The sequence below is a fragment of the Homo sapiens genome, chromosome 11 (genome assembly GCF_000001405.40).
Source record: "Homo sapiens chromosome 11, GRCh38.p14 Primary Assembly".
Classification (NCBI taxonomy): Eukaryota; Metazoa; Chordata; class Mammalia; order Primates; family Hominidae; genus Homo; species Homo sapiens.
This window is the reverse complement of record NC_000011.10, coordinates 11,448,117-11,466,139: the sequence shown is the minus strand read 5'-3', so window position 1 is coordinate 11,466,139 and position 18,023 is coordinate 11,448,117. Positions and strand designations below refer to the sequence as shown.

General features: G+C 49.1%; 1 protein-coding gene across 6 annotated transcripts in view; it reads left to right on the top strand.

Annotated features, from left to right (window-relative positions):
- Positions 1–18,023, top strand: part of GALNT18 (polypeptide N-acetylgalactosaminyltransferase 18) — a 351,129-nt gene that overhangs the window by 155,866 nt on the left and 177,240 nt on the right. For all 6 annotated transcript variants that reach the window (NM_001363464.2, NM_198516.3, XM_011520071.4 and 3 more), the window contains exon 2: positions 17,204–17,396. In NM_001363464.2, the coding sequence (NP_001350393.1) occupies positions 17,204–17,396 (193 nt within the window). The remainder of the gene's footprint in view (positions 1–17,203; positions 17,397–18,023) is intronic.

The window sequence follows — 18,023 nt, the reverse complement described above, 5'->3', positions numbered from 1 at the left end:
CAGAATGTGTCAGAGTTAATCACACATGGTCATGCTAAAGATTGTTTTGTAACCTCGTTTCCCTTATATCTGTTTGCGTATAATGGGTGAAATGCAAAAAATACAGTTTTGTAGGTTATGATTGAGAAGAGCTGAGAAGCACTGGTCTGGATGGATGCCTCCTGTGGTTCCTTTGGGCCCTGACTTTGGCTCACATCCACATCTGGGAGACCTTCCTACCCCCTATGTTGAGCAGAGCACTGGTGAGCCATGCAGTGAGGCCAGGGAAGAAGGCAGAAGTACTCAGCAGTATGACAGTGCAAGCCCCTCCCCTAGAGATAGCTGAGTACCCTACATAAATATCGTGCAGTAATTCCACATCCTCCTGGGGCCTGGCAGAGGAGAAGAGGTTAATATGGAGCCAGCTGACCTTGCCCAGGTCCATGGTCCAGGAGCTAACCGTGGTATGTCTTATACAGGTGGGTGAAGCAAGTGTATGAAGTGGTCTGGGCACTCCATTTCTCTACCCCTGATCAGCCCCAGCAGCAGAGAAGCTTGTCACCTCCAGGCCTCTCTGGTTCCCGGAGGCCATTCTCAAGACCCTTCCTAAGCTGTGCTTCCTGACCTCATGGCCAGGTGGCTTTGGCTTCTGTGGCTACTGAGCTGCCATGGATACGGATCACGAGCCCCAGGATCAGAGGGCAGCGTGACACCGTCCGTGCAGCCTGGAGGAGCAGCACTCAAGCTTTGAGTAATCCTTGGTGTTTTCCTGCACAGTGACAGCTCCATAAGGTGGGAATCTCTGCTTCCTAGCCCTGGGCTACACAGTGTGATGGATGACCCTGCCCACCCAACTCCCCAGTCTCAGGGGAAATCAGTCTAAATACAGACCCTCCCACTGTGGCATTCAGCTCCCGGTGCCAATGTGGCCTCCTTGACATCCCTTCCTCCCCTGACCTCAGCAGGAATGGGGCTGAGGATCTGGGAACAGACCTTCCTCAGGCATCCCAAGGCACCTCGCCCAGGTTACCAGTGGGATCTGTATTCTCTCTGTCCTCGTAGAGAGGATAGAGAAGTTGCCTTATGTTCTAAGTTACTCTGTGTACTTGACTCTGGTGGGGAAGACAAGAAATAATAAGCAGCCACCCCAACAACTCCCCACTGCTCGTAATTCCATCCCCAGCTCCCAGCCCAGCACCTGACCAGTAACAATAATAGTAACAACAGCCGGTGTTTATGTTGCCCATAGAATGTGAAAGGCTCTGTTATTAACTTATTCAGTCCTCACAATAACCCCACAAGGAAGTAGGTAATATGATTATCCCCAATTTTCAACATTAGTAAATGGAGGCACAGAGAAGTTAAGTGACTTGCACAAGGTCACACAGCTAGTGAGTAGTGAAGCCAAGCTCCAAACTCAGGCAGTGTGACTCAGAGGGTTGGCACTTCCCCGCTAGGCTATGCTGCTCTCTGCACTGCTGTATCTTGATGCATATTAATCAAATAAATGAATTTCATTTTATTTACAATGCCAAATTCATGGACTTTAATTTTCACTTTTCTGTGGGTACTCAGAAAAAAGTAGGGCAAGCCAATGTGTCTTTCTCAGTGTGCCAGGGCCCACGAGGGAGCTTCTTTCTGAACCACCCACCAGGAGGAAATGGCATTAGATCTGGGCCCATGCCTCCTTCCTGAAGAGGAGATGTTCATGGGACCAAGACAGGCTGTGCATCAGGGTGCCATCTCTGGGTGCCCACCAACTTTGAGGCATGGTGTGGAGGAGGAACTTCAGGGCTGCAGGGCCTCTGAGCAGAGTCCTCCTTAGATCTGAGCCTAGGAGACCTCGAGTCTCCCGGGAAGGCTGGCTTGGCCTCTCAAGATCTTTCTGGGCATAGGCTTTTTTGTTCACTTTAAAAATCCATTTGTGGAGCAAAAACTCATGATTATGGAAGAAAGTTTAGACTTTGTGGAAAATCCTGGGACCCACTGAAGAAGCCTTGCCTGACCTTGTACAGGAGCTATCAGTATGGATGCTTTTCAAAGCCCATGGCTGACAGAGATAGATAAGCTTGGGACCCCATTCACTACATCTTGGACGTGCAGTTTCTTTGTCCAAAACCTTTGCTTATTTTGTCTGGCTGCAGGCCGGGACTGCCTCCTTCCTCTGCTTCAGGTGCTCACAGAGCAAGACTGGGTTGGTAAATTAAGAATTTGCCAGATGGAAAGGACTAATTTTTCCCCCTTTCAAAATCATGAGCATGACGGTTTTTGCACACATTCCGCCGGACACATACTGCATTCATAATACAGAGCGTCGAGACAGCATAAAGGTTTCACATCTTTCATGTGATAAATATTTTTACCGTCATGCTCAAGAAATGGATTTTGTTTGAAAATGGCCTATTTCCTTTGATGGCTTCTTTGACGTGGATTCAAAGCCTTTCCCTATCCTGCCAGGGCCTGGGGTTGGGAGGGCCTGTTTGTTCAGTTTTTTCGAAGGACAAATCCACTTCTCCCTGATGAAATACAGCTGTGACTGCTGGGGGTGAGAGATTTACGACTTAGGACAGTAATGAAAAGACGTCCAGTGAGCCGACAGCTGCTGGGAGTGATGGCACGCTCAGCCCTGGGGCCACAACAGCTAGGGCTCCCAGGGGACGTGTAAGCAGACCTCAACCTCGCTGGGGCCCTGGCTCGTATTTATCCTTCTGCACTGTACACTACATTTAAAGAATCAGATGTGGGCTAGTTAACTGAATAATATTTCTTCTCACAAGTTTGTTTTTGTAAGTGTTCTTTTCTCATCTTTGAAATGACACATTTTTAATGCTCTTGCTATAAGCAGTGAGCAACCACTTGGGACTAGAAGAATCTGTTTTCAGGATGAGCTTTTGTAGGCTGCTGCGGGCTTCTGGAACTCTCTCTCTCTCTCTCTGTGTGTGTGTGTGTGTCTGTCTGTCTGTCTGAGTGTGTATGTCCATGTGTGAGGATACAGCCAGTGATAACTGAGGGAAGCAGGAACCCTGTTCTCTTGTGGGAGACTGTACTAATAGTTCCAGGGTCTTGTGATTGATATCCTCTCTCTCCACACTGCAGAGCACTGCTTACCCTCCCACCTGCCTGTCCTGTAGGGGCAGGTGCATGCTATACATCTAGACCCAGGCACCAACACAGTTAAGGGGTCTCTGAGAGAGGAGGTTTGCTGGTGTGCCCAGGGCTCAGGCTCTGGGGTTTGGCTGACACCCCAAATACTTGTTCTTTGAGCAGATTGCCTTTCCCCAGAGCCATTTTGCAGGACCCCTCCCGGGTGGTGGAGGGAGCACTGAGCAGGAATGAGGGCATTAAGACCCTTTTTTACTTCCCGGTCCTAGAATCAGCTGCTGCCTGGCTGTGTGACTTCAGGTGGTTCCATTGAACATTCTGCTTCTGAGTGAAAGCCACCAGGCCCTGTGTAAGCCACAATCAGTGATCTGAGCACCTTAGAATTGTGACATTTTAGGGCATGAAGGGATCTTAGAGATCACCTTGTGTTTACTGATGAGAAAAGGGCAGCCTAAAGAAAAGGAAGGGCCGGGTGCGGTGGCTTATGCCTGAAATCCCAGCACTTTGGGAGGCTGAGGCGGGTGGATCACTTGAGGTTAAGAGTTCGAGACCAGCCTGGCCAACATGGTGAAACCCCACCACTACTAAAAAAATAAAAAATAAATAAATAAAAAATTAGCCGGGTGTGGTGGCAGGAGCCTGTAACCGCAGCTACAAGGGAGGCTGAGGTGGGAGGATCCCTTGGACCCAGGAAGTGGAGGTTGCAGTGAGCTGAGATCATGCCACTGCACTCCAGCCTGGGCGACAGAGCAAGACTCCATCGCAAAGGAAAAAAAAAAAAAAAGAAAAGACTTTGCCACAGCCACACACTGAATGTACTGAGAGCCAAGACTAGGAAGTTCCTCCTCTACAGCTGAGATTCTCAGAGTGGGGACCGTGGACCGGCAGCCTTAGCATCCTCTCATAACTTGCTAGAAATGCACGATCTCAGGCCTCCCCTCAGACTGCTGAATGAGAAACTCTGGGGTGGGACCCCACGATCTGTAATCTGACTGCCCTCTGGGTGAAGTCTGATGCTTGCTGCTGTTCCTACAGCACCCCGCTTCCCTTTAAGACCAGAAGAAAGAAACTGGAAACAGGCAGGCTTCCTGGGAGAGGCTGTTTGAGACAGGGGAGCACATGATAGAGTAATATTACAGATGAAAGGTACATATGATTTTTGCAGCTTCATTCAGGCTGCAGGTTTCCCAAAGCAAGGACTCTTGTAGCAGAGCCTTGAAAGGAGTCATGGCGTCTGGCATTGTTCTGGGCTGCAGGCTGTCCTACTGGCAAGGGCCACACTGCTTTCTCCCTGTCTAGCCCAGCTGTTCCCATCCGTGTGTCTGTGTCAGGGAAGCATGCCTCTTTAACATTAGCAGGGTTGGTCCGGCTTGTTCATTCCAATAGATTGATGTGTGGAAACACTGGGAACACTGTTTTATGTGTGAACAGTGTAGTGTATATTTAGAAGTCCGGGTGTCAGCTCCGGGCTGTCAGCTCGGTGGCGGGCGGGAGCGGGGGGGATAACGGTATGTGCTTCAGAGTTTATTATATCTCTCCTAGGCAGAATTCTAGCTTTAAAGGTTGCTTTAAAGTAGCAAGTAATGGCACATATAAATTCTGATTCCTAAGATACAGACATTTGTCACTCTCTAAAATGAGTTTTTTCACATGTACTTTATATAGTTGGCATGGAGTGTAAAAACTTGACCCTTTAATAGCAGCTTTCATTCTGCATAATTTCTAATCAAGGCTATTTCCACTTCTGTGAGTGTGTGTGCACATGCTGAGCCCTGCTGCTCCTACCTGCACCAGCCATCCTAGCCGCACACTCAGACACACCCAGGCCCAGAAGTCCCCCTTGCAGGGGAGGAAAGACCCAGCAGTGCCAGCCCGTCAGGAGTGGAGTGGGATTTTTCTGACGGAGAGAGATCATCCTGTAGTATCTGGACTAAGCTTGCAGAGTCAGATGTCTTCCTGTCCTTTGTCTGCCATGTCAGCCCGGACTGAACTGACTCTGGTCTTTTGCTGGGACCCACCACCCTTCCTGAGTCCTAGCCCACCTAGCTGGAGTTGCCTTCCCTAACTCTTGCCAGTACCTCCCAGAGTGCAGGGCCAAATTCCTGTATCCCTGGCTGTCTTAATCTGTTTTGCATTGCTATAAAAGAATACTTGAGACTGGGTAGTTTATAAAGAAAAACAATTTTAACATTTTTTCTCAGAGGGTTCTGAATCCCCCCTCCCCAAATAAAAGCAACAACAAACTAACAATAGAACTGCAGCTTTAGGGAGTTTTGAAAGCCACACTTAAGAGTAGCCAAATACCAACACCGAAGTCCAAAGAACAGTAGCAGGAAGCCAGTTGGACACTATAATGATTCCGTCTGTGTGGGTCAGGAAGAAACAGGGAGGCAGGAGGGCGACTGCCTCAGTCCCTGCTTTGCACCAGCTAGGGCTCTCCTTTCTACCTTGTTAGTGAGTGTACGAGGGAGGAAAGGCCAAAAGGGCTTCAAGGTCAGGGAGGAGTGGGCAGAGATAAGGCTCCTTCACAGCTCATGGCCACCTGCAGCCCTCAGGTGCGCTGCACCTTTGGAGAACTTGGATGACAGCCCTGCCCAGATTGTACGGGGTGTGTTCACACTCAGTGAGTGTTGGGGTGGACAGAGCCATTTTGCTCAGAGTAGTGTTGGACATGGTAGGCTCTTTGCAAATGTCAGCTATTGGTATTTTGCCTCACTATAACCCTGTGAGTGAAGTATTAGAATCTCTTTTTAATAGATGGGAAAAGCCACACAATGATTGGACTCTTGCTATGGTAGCAGAGTAATGGCCCCTCAAAGATGTACACATCCTAATCCCTGGAACCTGTGAATATGTTACCTTACATGGCAAAAGGGAACTAAGGTTGCATAGGGAATTAAGGTTGTGAATTCAGCTGACTTTTAAAGAGGGAGAGTAGCCTGTATTGCCCAGGTGTGCCTAACGCAACCGTAGGGGTCCTTGAATGTGGCAGAAGGGGCTGAAGAGAAGGTCAGAGTGCTGCGATGTGGGATGGACTTGACCCACTGTGGTGGGCTTTGAAGACGGAGGAAGAGGCCATAAGCCAAGGAATGCAGGCAGCCTCTGGAAACTGGGAAGAGCATGGAAACAGAATCTCTCCTCCAGAGCTTCCAGAAAGGAGAATGGCCCTACCAACACCTTGATTTTAGCCCGGTGAGATGCCTGTCAGACTTCTTACTTTCAGAACTGTAAGATAGCATGTCTGCATTGTCAAGCTACTAAGTTTGTGGTTTTTGCTAGAGCACCATAGGAAACTATTAATACACTTTACCACCTATCTGATGGTTTGCTAAGCACTTTCGGGGTGTCCATCATCTCACTTAATCTTTGCAACAAGCTTAGACATAGACATTATTATCCACATTCGACAGCAAGCTGAGCTTCAGAGAGGTTTAAGAGCTTGATGAGGGTCACACAGCCAATCCAGGGCAGAGGTGCCTCCAGAGCTCCTCAGTCTGGTGGGCTCAGCCCCTAATGGAGTCTGCACTTGGCCTTGCAGTGGGACATCTCTTGGATGGCAGACCCCACCCTACTTTGGGCTGAGGCACCCTGAAGAAGCCTCTCTTCTTCCCTGCAACACTGTTCAGGTGTCAGAGGAAGCCATCCTAGATTTCCTTTGCCATGCTGAATAAAGTCCTCGCACAGAGGATTTTAATGGTGTTGGACCTGAGACTGTCAGGGCTCCTTCCTCCTGATTGGTTCCAAGCTCTTTGCTGTCAGATTCCACTTCGTTCTTTTGGCAGCTCTGAGGATTCCAGGAAGAGAAAGCCTAATTGTGGGGACCATTGGCAAAAGACCTTCGGCTCATGTTTGAATGCAACTCTAGAAACAGAGAAGAAGGGAAGCCCTCCATCAACAGAATAGTGCATTTACTTACCATTATTAGGGCACTTGACATATTCAAGGATGTTTTCAAAAATCTGAAAATTGTCCTTTGGGAGCCTAATCACAAGCAGAGGCATAACATCTTGCTTTGCTGGATATAAGAAGAGTACCGCTATGATGTGCCGAAGTCCCCCTTCTCGCTCAAGTAAAACGCAAACACTGGCTCCATCTTACAGAAGACAAGCAGGGCCCAGGGAGCTGGGGGTTTGCCCAGTGTTGGAGATGAGGTTAGGCCAAGGCTTCCTGTCTCCCAGACCAGCCAGCTTTCCACGGGTCTCAGTGCCTGGCTTTGGCTGGGACCAGGCACAAAGGCTGGGATTTGGATCTCAAGGCTGGGTGTTTGGAAGACAGGGGAGGTCAGGCCCACAGGCCGTGAAGGCGACACAGCAGATGGCAAGCTGAAGGCAGCTGAGGCTGAACGCTGCTGTTCCGGCTGTTTATGATGTGATCCCTCTGCATGGTGGTGTGAGTCCTGCCCTCATTAGCAGTGCTCGGGTGAACTGGGCTTTGATGCTCTGCAAACATGGTCTGGGCTTCTCGGGCAAGGCCCAAGCATCAAGCTTTTTAATGGGAATAATGGTGACTTCTCATCATTGGAAGTCAGCGGGCAGGAGTTTACTGAAAGCCGACAAGAGAAATGTACATTTCTGAACATTCAATTAGCCCTCTTCTTTTTAACCCAAAATAAAGCATGCAACAATGCACTGCAGGAGTGGAAGAAAAGTTTTTTTAAAAAAATCATTGAATTGTACATTTAAAATGGGTGAATTTTATGGTATATAAATTATACCTCAATAAAGCCGCTTTTAAAATGAGGAGTGGAAGAAAAGGAAAACCTTCTTTATGAATTCTTATCTGGGATATTCAGCAATGCTTGCTGCATTATTTGATGCTTAGCTTTCATCTTTCCCAAAGCTGACTTCACAGTGACCTCTGACAGTCGGTTTCCATCTCACAAGTGAAGAAAGTGAAGGCTTGAAGGGACTCTGGGTCTTTCCCAAAGAGAGCGAATAGCAGACCCAGAAGCGGGGAGGGAAGGGGTCCCCAGTGCACTCTGGGAGGAGGACCAGGAGACAGGACCATCTGGGTCTGCACCCCAAGTGTACTTCAGACTCAGGGTCTCGGGGCCCATGGCAGACAGATACCTGGCACCCCAACCTGCCTGACCTAGTTTCTCCTGCCTCCTCTCACTGGGTTCTGGATCTTATCACCAAACAACCAGAGCTTTGCTATAAGCATGGCCTGAGGGCAGAAAGAGAAATAGCAGTGGCTACAGAACTGGCTGCAGGACAAAAGCTAGCCCCCACTCCCCACCCACCCTCAAAGCCTTCTCAGTGATCCCCTCTGCCTGAGAGAGGGACACAGTAAACTGAGTAAACCACAAGAAACAAGAAGGCTCCAGTGGTTTCCTGGGAGCACATCCCTAGGTGCACAAACCGAGGGACAAGAAGCAGAGCTGCCGCTCCCAGAGAGTGCACAGACTAGCTTGGGCAGCGGGCCAGGGGTCCTCAGCCAGGTGAGCTGCGTTCTGGGTGGCTCTGTCTGACCCTTCGGTAGGACTTGACCATTCCTGCGGCCCAACCTTGAGGGGGGAGCCCTAAACCACTTTGACCTCCAACAGCAACCATGCCATTTGACTCCTCTGATTCCCTTGTCCTCCAATCCAAGGAGCAGATATGAGTGCTAGATTCTTGCCTAGGAAGAGGTCCAGGCTACAGCCTCTCCTGCAGTTCCTCCAAAAAACCACCAGCACCTCAGAATTTCTATCTCCAGCGATGGCAAGAGCTGGCAAAATGACTCAGCTTCAGCAGAAGGGGATCTGCAGGGATCTGGTCCTAGAAGGTGAGGCAGTCAGACCTAGACAGGGCTGGGCAGCATTACAATACCCCTTTCACTCTGAAGCCCGTTTCCTCCCCACTCCATTGTGCAGTCTCAGTACCACCACAATCTTGGAGCACGAGCCAGTGGGGCCAGTGCTTTGTGTGGACTGCCCACTGAAGCAGAACCCTTCATGCAGGAATTCCTACTTTCAGCATCACTGGCTTCAGGAGCCTCAAAAGCCTTGGCAGGGCCTCCAGATGTGCTCCTCTTGCTTGGCCAATTAGCCCATGCACAACGCTCAGAGCTGTGGCTTTTGTTGCATTCATTGCTCAAAGCTTTGCAAGCTATTTCCTGCCCCACTTCCCACTTGTCTCCATGAATTAGCATGGACCTGTCAGGATGTATCTGTAAGCTCCACTCTTATCAATGGGCTGTGTGTCAGGCACTGTGGGCATATCACTGAGACCACATTATGGCATTTCCCAGGTGCCCTATGTGATCATTGGTAGAACTTTTTGAAAAACAGTCATGCACAATAAGGACTGGGCATGATCATGGGGAAGCAAATGACCTGAGTGAGTGGGTCTCTAGAAACCCATCACTCTCATTCACAGGGGCCCACCTAGGAAGGACTCAAGCAACTGGTAGTCAAAATATACTTGGCAAACAACTGTCAAGGGACAGTACTAACCAACTGACAGGAATGCTCAACACAGCCTAGAGCAGGATCTTGGGGTTCTTGGCTGGGCCTTTGAGTTGCTGATTGGTGAAAAGAACTGGAGCATTCCAAGAAAAGGGCCAGAGCACCTGGGGTTGCAGGGGGGCCCTGGAGGTATTTTAGGCGGCAGCTGTTTGCCACCGCTAGGAAGGTATTTCAATAGTTTAACAACTAGTTTGAACCAGTACAGACCAAGTGAGTAGCCTCCTGGGGACTGAAGTATCTCCAGTCCTCAAGTCAGACAACAAGTCTTGGTGCATAATTTGCAGGTAGGGCTGCAGTCAGGACTGTGAGCTCAGCAATAAGCCCCTTAATGTCTCCAGCTGCAGTTTTCTCTTATCTATGATGGGATTGATTAAACCTACATTCTAGGAGAGGTAGGTGCAGTGCAATGGAATTGGGGTACACTGTACTAGGGAATCAGCTCCAGGGATAAAGCTTTTAGACACCCAAGATCAGCCTGCAGTTGGACCCCAAATAATGCACTTTGCCACTCTGTGGTTTGTTTCTTTTGTTTGAGACAGGGTCTTGCTCTGTTGGGCTGGAGTGTGGTGGCAAAGCTCACTGCAGCCTCGACCTCCTGGGCTGAAGTGATCCTCCTACCTCAACCTCCTGAGTAGCTGGGGCTACAGATGTACACCACCATGCTTGGCTAATTTTTGTATTTTTAGTAGAGATGGGGTTTCTGCATGTTACCCAGGCTGGTCTTAAACTCCAGGCCTGAAGCAATATGCCCACCTTGGCCTCCCAAAGTGCTGAGTTTACAGGCATGAGTCACTGTGCCCAGTGCCACTTTAGAGAGTACCTTTTTGTGATGCTTACCATGCTGAGCTTTGGGATACTTGCTTGTAGGTTCAGAAACTATTTCCAAATAATAACGCTAATCCCAAGGCTTTCAGACTCGCAGTCTTCACTGTGGTTCTTCCTGCCCCCATTCCATGGGCTACCCCCAGCCTGCTGAGGCTCTGGATGCTCTGGGTCTGGCTTCTTGGTTTCCGATCTGTACAGCCACCTGTCTAGCAGCTTTGAGCCCCACAGAGTGCTCTTTCCTCCTCCTGCATCCTGGTTCTTCTTGGCCTCTACTTTGGGGTGTACTTCCCTGGAGTGAGCTTGAGGATTGCACTTATTCTTCAATTCAAGCATCTTTTCCTTTAGGAAGCCTTCCCTCTGCCCCATTTCCCCTCACTTCAAGCATCCTTTCCTTTAGGAAGCCTTCCCTCTGCCCCATTTCCCCTCACCTACAGGGACCCAATGGCATCTTATATACCCTTGATCAGAGCATTGTTTACATTCTCTATATATTTGCTCTTCCCACTAAGTTGGATGCTATATGAGGATAGGGAACACATCTGAGTAATCTTAATATTTCAATACCCAAGCAATAAGCTTGGCATAGAACAAACTTGCTGAAATATTTGTTGCTTAGATGATAAAAGGGATTAACACCCTTTGTGGGCAAAGCTGACAGTGAGCTCCAAGGCCCAGCAAACAAAGGAAGCACAGCTATCAGGGAGCATCTCTGAATAGGGCTGGCCAAGCTGCAGCTCCCCGCACCCTGGGGATGGGCAGGAATGACTGCTTGCTGGTTCCCTCAGGGAGAATTTCAATGTCAACAATGAGGAAGGAGTCAGCCTGTTTGCCTGTTAATGTCAGAAATGTCATGCTTTGCACAGACCCATCAACTGTACCTTTCTCTTCAAGGGTGGAGTGATTAGTGTCCTCTGGAGGGAATCCTCCCCTCAGGGCTTGATGGTGAGGATTTCTGTAATGAGCACCTTGGAGACTGAGGAGACTCAGGAGGGAAGATGGGTATCAACGTGTCTGCCAGAGCTTTGAGGACACCGCAGGCTGGGTTTCAAGGAAGGAAGAGCACTCCTGGCCTGACTCTCTGGCTCTCTGTGGTTCTGTGGTTTGAGCTGGACACTTCCTGAGGGCATCTTAGGCCAGTTTTCTAGAGTCTCTGGGTCTTCCCACCTCATTGCCCTTTGTGCCTGGGTTTCTGGGAAGAGGGATGTTTGGACCCTTCAGTGGAATCTTTTTGATTCTGAGCCTTACTTGGTGAGATTTGAAAGAGAGAGAGAGAGAGAGGCAAGAAGAAGACACAGCCTCCTTCTCTCCCTGCCTCCCTCCTTATCTTCCTTCTCCCTATATTTTGGGGGTAATTACTCCATGCACAGTCCTATTCTGGATACTTGGGAGAGAAGCCTGGTAATTCTCTGGTATAAGAGATTTACAGAGGAGTCCTGGGAGAGCAGTGGAGATTGCTTACCACTGACCGTATTTTGTGGAACTACCTGAGAAGCTCTTAAACATGCCGTGCCAGTCTGCGTAACTGTGCACAATCATTTGCTTAAGTGAACTGGGGAGGAATTAACTGCACACAGCTGGAATTTGCCCCGGCCATGCCTTCACTGGCTTTGTGCTCCTACCTGCTGGCACAGGACTGCAGCCCCCTTTCTACTCCCTCTGAAAGATTTGGGGAATCTCTAGTAGGCAGGGAGTTTTCTGACCTCACGACGACCCACTGCTAATGCCCTATTCGTTCATTTTACTGGTATTGGTTAAGCACCTACTAGGCGCCAGATGCTGTTCTGAGTCTGAGGGACTCAACAGAGAACAAAGCAAATGCCTGACCTCACAGAGCCACGTTCCAGTCAGGGAAACAAACAACAAGCAAAATGAATGGAGACTATATTAGTCTGTTCTCATGCTGCTAAGAAAGACGTAAGTGAGACTGGGTAATTTATAAAGAAAAGAAGGCTTAATGGACTCACAGTTCCACATGACTGGGAGGCCTCACAATCATGGTGGAAGGTGAAAGAGGAGCAAAAGCACACCTTACGTGGTGGCAGGGAAGAGAGCGTGTGCAGGGAAGCTCCCCTTTATAAAACCGTCAGATCTCTTGAGGGTTATTCACTATCGTGAGAACAGCATGGGAAAGACTTGCCCCCATGATTCAGTTACCTCCACCGGGTCCCTCCCACAACACATGGGAATTATAGGAGCTACAATTCAACATGAGATTTGGGTGGGGACGTAGCCAAACCATATCAGAGACTATATATGTAAAAACTGGGGAGAGGGCTGGATGTTTAGGATAGGGTTTGCTGAGAAAGTGACTTTTGAGTAAAGACATAGAAGTGAGGGAACTGACCAGGAGGATGTGCAGGGAAATGCTGGAGCTGAGGCACTCAGGTGAGATGTGCCTGGTGAGTCTGATGAGTGGCCGGTGTGGCTGGAGAGGAGAAAACCAGGGGCAGAGATGGGAGGTGAGTGCTGGGCCTTGCAGGTGTTTAACAAGAAGGTGGCGGAAGGCCCTTGGAGGGTTCTGATCAGAGAAGGACGTGGCATGGTAATGTTTCCCCTGGCCCAGGGGTCTCCTCAGGCCGTACTTGGGGCTCCCCAACCTGCCCTAATCACATCATCCCTTTCCTTCCACCTTCCCTGACTCAAGCACCGCTTGGTCCCCAAGCATGGCTGTCTGGTGAAGCAGCCCCTTCACTTTCCCTTTCATCCTATTTCTCCCTGGGACCCAGACAAGCACTCAGGGCTGGGTGAGGGCAGGGGGCGAGTAACAGCCTCTGTGTTGTGCTCAGAATCCTCCAAATACTCCCCTTCACACTCTCTGGCTTTGCAGCTCACAGAGTTCATTGTGCCCTGCTCAATCTCTGCCTCGAATGGGCCCTCCTGGGGAGTCCTCAGCCCCTGGAGATGTGCTTCTCTTAAGTCACCTCATCAGTTGGTCAGACATGCCCAGGTAGGTCTGAATGCCTGCAGGGGCTTCAGCCAGAGTCCAATCCTGGAAGGTGCCTCATCCCTAGATGCCAGACATCAGAGGGTCTGGGTATCACCAGATATGCCAAACACCCCAGGACCCCTGTAGAAGACCCAGCCCAGACACTTCTCTGAGGCCTCTTTGCCTGTCCCCCTTATGTCAAAGGTGGTCCCCTTTGCTGGATGACCATGTAGGCCTGCTTTCTCACTGGAGACGGGAGTGGAGTCCAGGTCTGGTTAAGCATAGACCACTTGTCTATGGACATGGAAAGCCTTCATGTGGGGCTGGAAGGCGTCAGCATCTTCTAGAGCTGGGGACCTTGGCAAGGTCACCTTCCTGTCCCAACTCCGGCGGCCCGATAGGGCTGTGGGCTTTGTGCGGGCTTCAGCAGTGTTTATGGAGAGCTTACTATGTGCCAGGCACCGTGCCAAGCTCCTTACCTGACCATCTCATTTATCCTCACACATGTTCTATGAAGAAGGCACTATTGTTATCAACCCCATTTTCCAGAAGAGGAAACTGAGGCTCAGGGTGAGGTGGACCAAACTGGCAAATGGTAGAGCTGGAGGATAAACCCTAGGATTCTGACTCCACAGCCAGTGTTCTTAACCAATTCTTTGGAAGTAAAGAAAATTAAATAGAGTTCAGAGAGGCAAGGCCTCCTTACCTCAGGAGAGTCAACTCTAAGGTACAGGGCAGACAGGGCTCGGGAAAATGTTGGGGGTGGCACACTTTTTTTTGTTTTTAAAGAATCAGATAGTGTTTTCAGATTCTCGGGTCATATCATCTCTGTCATACATACTCAACTCTGCTCTTCAGCTCCAAAGAGAATATGTTAACAAGTGGATGTGACTGTGTTCTAATAAAACTTTATTTACAAAGACAAGTAGTGGCCCTTGGACCATGGTTTGCCACCCCTGGTGTAGAGAAAAGAATGTGGAGTTTGGAGGAGCCAGGCCTTTATTCGATGTCACTGACACACTGGGTGGCCTTGGATTAGACATTTAACCTTTTCACTTTTGGTTTCATCTTGTCTAACCACTATGGGTTACTTATTAACTGATGTATTTTGAAATGATCGATTGAGTCCCTTGTAAGAAGCAGTTACTGTGCTAGGAGCTGGCAGTCCAGCAGGGGTCAAGTCAGATGTGGTCCTGCTCTGTGGAGTTGCACCAGTGAGGAGGAAGAGAGGCAACATTCGATAAGGAAATGACCTATCGCAGTGCTTGACTCTTGGCAGAAATTCAACAAATATTACACCTTTCCTGCTGTAGGCCCTCCACCTCATCTTTCAGGACTCACTGGCTTTGAGTTTGTCATCCTTCGTGCCCATACTGAGTGAAAAGGTAGGACCATGTGGTGTCACCAGGACTTTAATATGTTTATAATATATTATTATGCAATGCAGGCCTAATTTTGGATCATAATTTTCCATTAACTGATCTCATTTTACTTAGTAATATCCACTTAGGTATTCGAGAGCAATAAAACTACATTTCTTTTAAATATTATATGATTCAGTTGGTTCACTGATTTAGATTTTTACTACCCCCCATTCCAAACGAATGAGTCATACATCTTTTTAGAGATAACAAGGACCTTCAAGATCATGCATGCTTGTGCTACCCTTCAAGCATGCCTAGTAGGGGAGAAGAATGAGCAAGTTCTGAGATGGAGATTTGGGCAAGCCACTGCAATCCTGACAATGCTGTGTCTTAGAAGAGTTTGCATAGTTTGCATTTTATTCTTCAGTATATCCTAATCTGTTTAAATTTTCCGACTTTGCTTTTATGTCTTTAAGGAAAATCAGTCACCGAGATGGTATGCCATGTTTGTCTTTGTACTTCACGTACTTTAGCAGCTCATTGCCTTATAGAGGCTGTATAGCATAGTGGGAGGACCACTGCCTGGGGAGAGCCTTCCCAGGACTGAAATCCAGCTACTGCACTTTCTTCTGTGTGAACCTGGACAAGTTTTTTATTCTCTCTATGCCTCACTTTCTTTATATATAAAATGAAGATGACAACAATTCCTACCTTATAGGGTGAGATGAGTTGATAAGAGAAAATGCTTAGGACAGAGCCTGGCTCGTGGTAGGAGTGAGCACTCATCAAGTGTTAGCTCTGATGGTTATCCCAAGAGTTACAGGGGTGTCCCATTTGGAGGACGTGGCCCGGAGAGGTACCTTAATGCATGTGCACCCAGTGAGTTCGGCACCTGGGAGTTTGTTGACAGATCTTTTTGCATCTCTCACACTGAGGTCTCTGGCATCTCTGCTTTCAGGATCGTGAGCTTGCTAAGTCCCCTTCTACTCTTGATAGCCTCTGCCTGCTTCTGGTGATGGAGGCTTCCTGCCACTGGAGCACCCCTTCCATGGTAGGGGGAGCCTATGTTTTGGAAGCCTCCCTCTTTTGTTCCCAGGCAGTCTCCTCTCTCTCAGATGGGCTTTTAGGAGAGCATCGCATGAGGAGGTGGCAGTCCATAGCCCCAGCACTCCAGCCTTGAAGACTTCAGAACCCTAGCTCCTTACTCATCTCCAGCCTGTACCTAGGTGTGTCATACACCCATTGACTCCATACAGGCCAACAAGGGGATGTGGGCAGGTGTCCCAAGCCTGCCTCTCCTGTCCCTGACCTGCTTCTGTTTTTTCTGATCACTGTCTCATTCCAGGCTCCTGGCTCCATCTCTTACTTCCCTCATGAATTTGTGAGCATAGACGACCCTGTCCAGTGGGCTTGCCAGTTCTGTCCAATTTCTCTGATTTCTGACCTCAAATGATTCACCTGATGGCCTGTCCCAGGGAAGTAATTCCAAAGTCCTGGACTATCAGCCCATGTCCTGGCAAGATCTATCTTTTAGCCCCCATCAAAGAGAGATTTCAATAACCTTCCCTTGCTATAATAACCCTAATTGCCATTGGCTGTGCACTTGTTCTGAGACATAAACTGATCTAAATGCTTTATACACTTTATTTAATGGAATCCTCACAATCTCTGGAGGCTGGTTGGGTATTATTATCTCTGCATTCTAGGTTGGGGAATTTTGGCCTTGGGAGGTTGACTGTGCTATGGTCATGTAGCCAGGACGTGGTGGAGCACTGACTGGAATCCACGACTGTGTGACTTCAAAGCCTCTGCTCTCACAGTTAGTGATTCCCCTCCATTTTTCTGGGAAGTTCCTGGGAAACCATGTGCTGGCCTTGAGCTGCCTCCACCAAGTCCACAAGGGCTCCCATGAGCAGGGCCCAGAGCGCAGGGCAGGCTGGGTGTGGCTTGGCTGTCACCTGTGTCATGGATTTGCTATTCTGGTGGGCAGTGTCTGGAAGCAGCAGGAGGCAGTCTGGCCGGGGTGCTGACAGCCAGGTGAATGTCACATGGTGCACCAGGCAACTCACTGGAGGACCAGACAGTGAAGAGGGAGAAGGGCTGGCAAGAACTGGGTGGAGGAGTAGACTCCCAGCTTGGGTGCCTCAATGTGGGGTGGGCTTGGGAATTGCAGGAAATGGGGGTACAGGCTAGGGACAGAGAAGCAGATGCCCAGTTTGAGGGCTGGGGCCAACATCTCTGGCAGGGAGGCAGACTGGGGAAAAAGGGGGTCCTGACTTGAAGCCATGGGGCATCAATGTCACATCCATTAGCTTCTCAGCAGACCCTGTCAGGTGTATTTCTCTAACTCCTGTGCCTGGTGGTTGTGGGTTAGATGAATGGATGGATTCATGGATGAATGGGTCTTTGGGAAGCATGAAAACCCAAGTCAGCACTGACCCCGAAAGAAGGGGCTAAGATTGTTTTACCAAAGGCTGTTTGTGAGGAAGGGAAAGGGATTGTCATGGCACATGCAGGGGTGCACTCTGACCCACTGTCTCCTGTTCCTTCTTTCTCCAGAGGCTCCTGCCAAGCCTGAGGAGGCAGAGGCCGAGCCCTTCACAGACTCCTCTCTGTTTGCACACTGGGGCCAGGAGCTCAGCCCCGAAGGCCGGCGCGTGGCCCTGAAGCAATTCCAGTACTACGGCTACAACGCCTACCTCAGCGACCGCCTGCCCCTGGACCGGCCCCTGCCTGACCTCAGACCCAGTGGGTGAGCAGAGTCAGTGACTGGGCCCTTGTCGACCTGCCTATGGGGAGATGGGGTCCCCAGAGTGCTGGGAACAGAGCAGGACTGGGCGCCTGGATTCTTGGGTCCCTTTCCTGCTTCAGCCAGGGCCTGTCCCCTCGGCTTGCGTTCAGCAAGTCACTCTCCTCTTCCCTCAGCCTCAGTTTCTCCATTAGCTGAGTAGGGGCAAAGCTTTCTTCCAGTAGAGATTTTGAGGATTAACAACTTAATTTACTCGTTAAGGACACTACAATCATCTCACATTCCTGTTAATACGTCATTTTAACCCAATTAGTTGCATTTTATGCATAATCTTTTTTCTGTAAATTAGTTTTTAAAGTACATCTATCTTGTGGGGCTAACAAGTCGTTACATCTGACAGAGAAGTCTGTCTTGACTTCTCTCTTTGTTACAGAAGGATGTTCCTTTAAGGTTCAGTGAGAATTCTTACTACTCCCAATTATTGAAAATGTGGGCATGTACCTCAGCTGAGAAAATCTCATTAATTTTTGTGAGCTCCCCCCCACAGTGTTTTCCCCCTTTTCTCCTCATTTTTACATTTTTTTAAAAGCTGCAAACCACAGTGAGCTTATATCTGGAGTCTTTGAGAAA